Source organism: Homo sapiens, chromosome X (assembly GCF_000001405.40).
Source record: "Homo sapiens chromosome X, GRCh38.p14 Primary Assembly".
In the NCBI taxonomy this organism is placed as follows: Eukaryota; Metazoa; Chordata; class Mammalia; order Primates; family Hominidae; genus Homo; species Homo sapiens.
The window spans coordinates 90,209,104-90,213,292 of NC_000023.11; the positions used below are offsets into that span (position 1 = coordinate 90,209,104).

Here is a 4,189-nt window from a genome sequence, read left to right on the forward strand (position 1 = left end):
AGTCACATTGACATATGCCAGCATAATTGGGATGCCAAAAGCAATACTAACTGCAGTAATAACTGAGGATGCAATCACTGACAAAGTCATTCCTCCTGTGATAGCCAAATTTCTCTTGTGTTGGAGGTTTGCTTTCCTTTATCCGTGCAGTGAATCTTCCTGTCAACATAAACAGGAATGCTGATGACCATTTCAGGAATAGCAATGGTAGCAATGAAAGATATCCCCACTGGAGCTCCAATTAATGCGCACAGCTGCCAAGTAATTTTCTTACAGCTTCTTGCCCCAGAATCTGAAGCCAGAGGGTTTTTGAAAATATGGCAGAAATCTTTATTAAAATGTTTCCTTCAGTAATATGTTACCACATACATAATATACACACATACCTATGTACATTCTTAGACATACCTCAAAGATTGCTACCATTAGTTTAACCAATAAATTAAAACTAAAAAAAAAATAGGAAGGGGAGAAAGGAGAGGGAATCAGGGCAAAATTTTGATGTTTTATCTAGTAAGAAATTGCAAATATCTCAGAATTTCTCTGAAGGAAACCTATAACCAGAGAATCTTTAAGATAAAATACATAAATTTTCACTCATCTCACCGAAAAAAAAAAAAAAAAAGATTTGAAAGTTGCAGTCACAACAATTGTGCTTCTCAGAACATTTATTCAATTTCAAATTCTGGCTTCGGCACCTTTTGTCTTTAAGACAGACTGCCCCTCGGCTGGGGCAGAGAAGTTCATATGGACACCTGGGCCCAGTGCACCCTTGGGCTCTAGAGGTCAAGGGGGAAATCTGCAATATGATAGTAAGGGAGGTCATAGTCATCTGAAGTGATGTCTAGCACATCATCTCACTGCATATCATCACTCTCCAGACCACTGTGGATCATCTTGGGTTAGGCCAAGCTGATGTATGAAAGTTTGATGACCAGATAGTCTTTCTGCTCACAGCTTTGGTGTTTGTAGAAAAGTCCTCTTCACTGCCTCCATCTCCACCACTACTGCTATATTCTTCATTCTCTGTCATCTGAGCATGAATGTGGAATGAATCCTTTACGCTTCTTTCACTCACCAGCTGACAGTAGCTTGGTTTGGCATCACTCAGATTTCCATATTGTTGCATTCCATGTCCTGATTATGAAAATAGTCATAGCAAGAGTGCTTGGGCTCTCACTGATTCCATCAAGGTTGATTGTGTCTTTGAAAACAATTTCATTTTGGATATTGACTTGGACTTCTATCCTGCTGCATTTTCCCTAGATACTGTAAAGAATCTCACCATTTAGTATGCTCCATGGGAGAGCTGTGAAGCTGGTTGTATAATAAAAAATAATGATATTATGTAATGATAAAGGAATCAACTCATCAAAAGAATATAACAATTGTAAATATATGTGCACTCCAACTTTGGAACACCTAAATATATAAAGTAAATATTAATAAACATGAAGAGAGAGATAGACTATAATACAGTAATAACAGGGAATATCAATACCCCATTTTCAACAAGGGACAGATCACAGACAGAAATCAATAAGGAAACAACGGACTTGAACTATACTTTAGGTCAAATGGACCTAAAAGACATATACAAAACCTTCCATCCGATAGCAGCAGAATACATATTTTTCTAAAGCACACATGGAACATTCTTCAGGATAGGTCATATGTGAGGGCTCAAAACAAGTCTTCATAGGTTTAAGAAGATTGAAATTGTATCAAGTATATTTTCCCATGACAATGGTATAAAACTAGAAATCAATAATAGGAGAAATATCAGAAATTCCCAAATAAGTGGAAATTAAACTACATTCTTCTAAGTAACCAATGAATCTAAAAACAAATTAAAAGGGAAACTAAATAATATATTCAGACAAGTGGAAATGGAAACACAACGTACCAAAATATGCAGGACTCAGCCAAAGCAGTTCTAAGAAGGAAGTTTATAACAATAAATGCCTACTTCAAAGAAAAAAAAAAGATCCCAAATAAACCACCTTATGTTAGACATCAAGAAACTAGAAAAAGAAGACCCAACCAAGTGCAAATTTAGTTAAAGGAAGAAAATAATATAGCTCAGAACAGAAATGAATGACATAGAGACTAGAGCCTTAATAGGAAAAATCAATAAAACTGAGTTGGGTTATGAAAAGATAAACAAAATTGACAAACATTTAAATGGATTAACTAGGAAAAAAGGAAAAAGAATATAAATAAAATTAGAAATGAAATAGATGACATTACAACGGATATGCCACAGAAATACAAAGGAGCATAAGATACTATGAATAATTATACACCAACAAATATGATAATCTAGAAGAAATAGATAAGTAACTATAAACATAAAACTTACCAAGGGTAAATCACGAAGAAATAGAAAATCTGAACAGATCAGGAATGAGTAAGGAGATGAATTAGTAATAAAAATTTTCCTGTCAAACAAAAGTACAGGATTAGATGTATTTACTGGTAAATACTACCAAACATTTAAATAAGACTTATTGCCAATCATTCTCAAACTTTTCCAAAAAAAATGAAAAGTAGGACACACTTCCAAACTTATTTTATGAGGCCAGAATTACTCTATAACAAAAGTCAGACAAGAAGAGAACAATAAGGAATTAAGAAGAGAAACTAAAAGAAAAGAAAATTACAAGCCAGTAATTCAGATGCAATAATTCTCAACTAAACACTGAAGAACTAAATTCAACAGCACATTAAAAGGATAATACATCACACTGAAGTGGGATTTATTCCTGAAATACAAGGATGGTTCAACAAAAACAAATCCATAAATGTGATGTACCACATTAACAGAATGAGGGACAAAAAACATAATCATTTCAATAGATGCAGAAAAAAAAATCAGAGAAAATTCAACATCCCTTCATGATAAAAACCCTTAATGATTTAGGTGCAGAAGGAATATACATCAATAAGGGACATATATGAAAAGCACACAAGCTCACATCAGACTCAATGGTGAAAAATTGCAAGTTTTCTAAGATCAGGAAAAAGACAAGGATTCCCCCTCTTGTGATAAGTATTCAACATTGTGCTGGTAGTCTTAGAATAATCCAGAGAGAAATAAATGAAATTCAAATTGGAAAAGAAGATGTTATGATCTTATATCTAGAAAACCCTAGCCACTCACCAAAAAGCTGTTAGACGTAATAAACAAATTCAGCAAAGTTGCAGGAAACAAAATCACCATACAGAAATCAGTAACATTTATTCCCTCAAAACAAACTATATGAAAAAAAGTCAAGAAAGCAATTCCATTTACACTAGCAAAAAGTAATAAAATAAAATATGTAAAAATAAATTTAACAAATAAAGTGAAAGTGCCATACACTGAAAACTATAAAACATTGATGAAAGAAATTAAAGAAGACACAAATGAATGGAAATATATAGGATGTTCACAGATTAGAAGAACTGATATTTGGGGCTTTGCTCCAGATTAGGCTTTGGCTTAAGTGAATGTTATGCCTAGTTTGATCTTCTGTCAGACCAATCAAACTTTCTCCATATAAGCAATAAGGCTGTTTTGCTTCCTTATCATTTGTATGTTCACTGGAGTAGCACTTTTAATTTCCCTCAATAACTTTTCCTTTGCATTCTCAACTTGGCTGACTGTTTGGCTTAAGAGACCCAGCTTTTGACATCCCTTCCTCACGAACTTAGCTTTTGATTTAAAGTGAGATATGTGCAAATCTTCCTTTAACTTGAACACTGAGTCATCATTGTAGGGTTATTAATTGGACTAATTTCAATATTGTGGTGTCTCAGGGATTGGGGAGGCCTTAGGAGAAGAAGAAACACAGGGTAACAGCCAGTAAGTGGAGCAGTCAAAACACACATTTATAGATTAAGTTTGCCATCCTATATGAGTGTGGTTTGTGGTGCCCCAAAACAGTTACAATAGTAACACCAAAGATCACTGATCACAGATCACCATAACAGATAGAGTAATAATTTAGAAGTTTGAAATACTGTGATAATGTACAGAATGTGATAGATAAAAAGTGAGATCATACTGTTGGAAAAATGGTGCCAACAGACTTACTCAACACAGGGTTGCAACAAACCTTTATTTTCTAAAAAGCACAGTATCTGAAAAGTTCAATAAAGTAAAGCACAATAAAATGAGATATGTTTGTATTCAAAGAAATAATGC

The 4,189-nt window shown here is 33.9% G+C and overlaps 1 pseudogene; it reads right to left on the reverse strand.

The window, feature by feature from the left end:
* On the reverse strand, positions 314-1,131 carry RNF19BPX (ring finger protein 19B pseudogene X-linked; annotated as a pseudogene).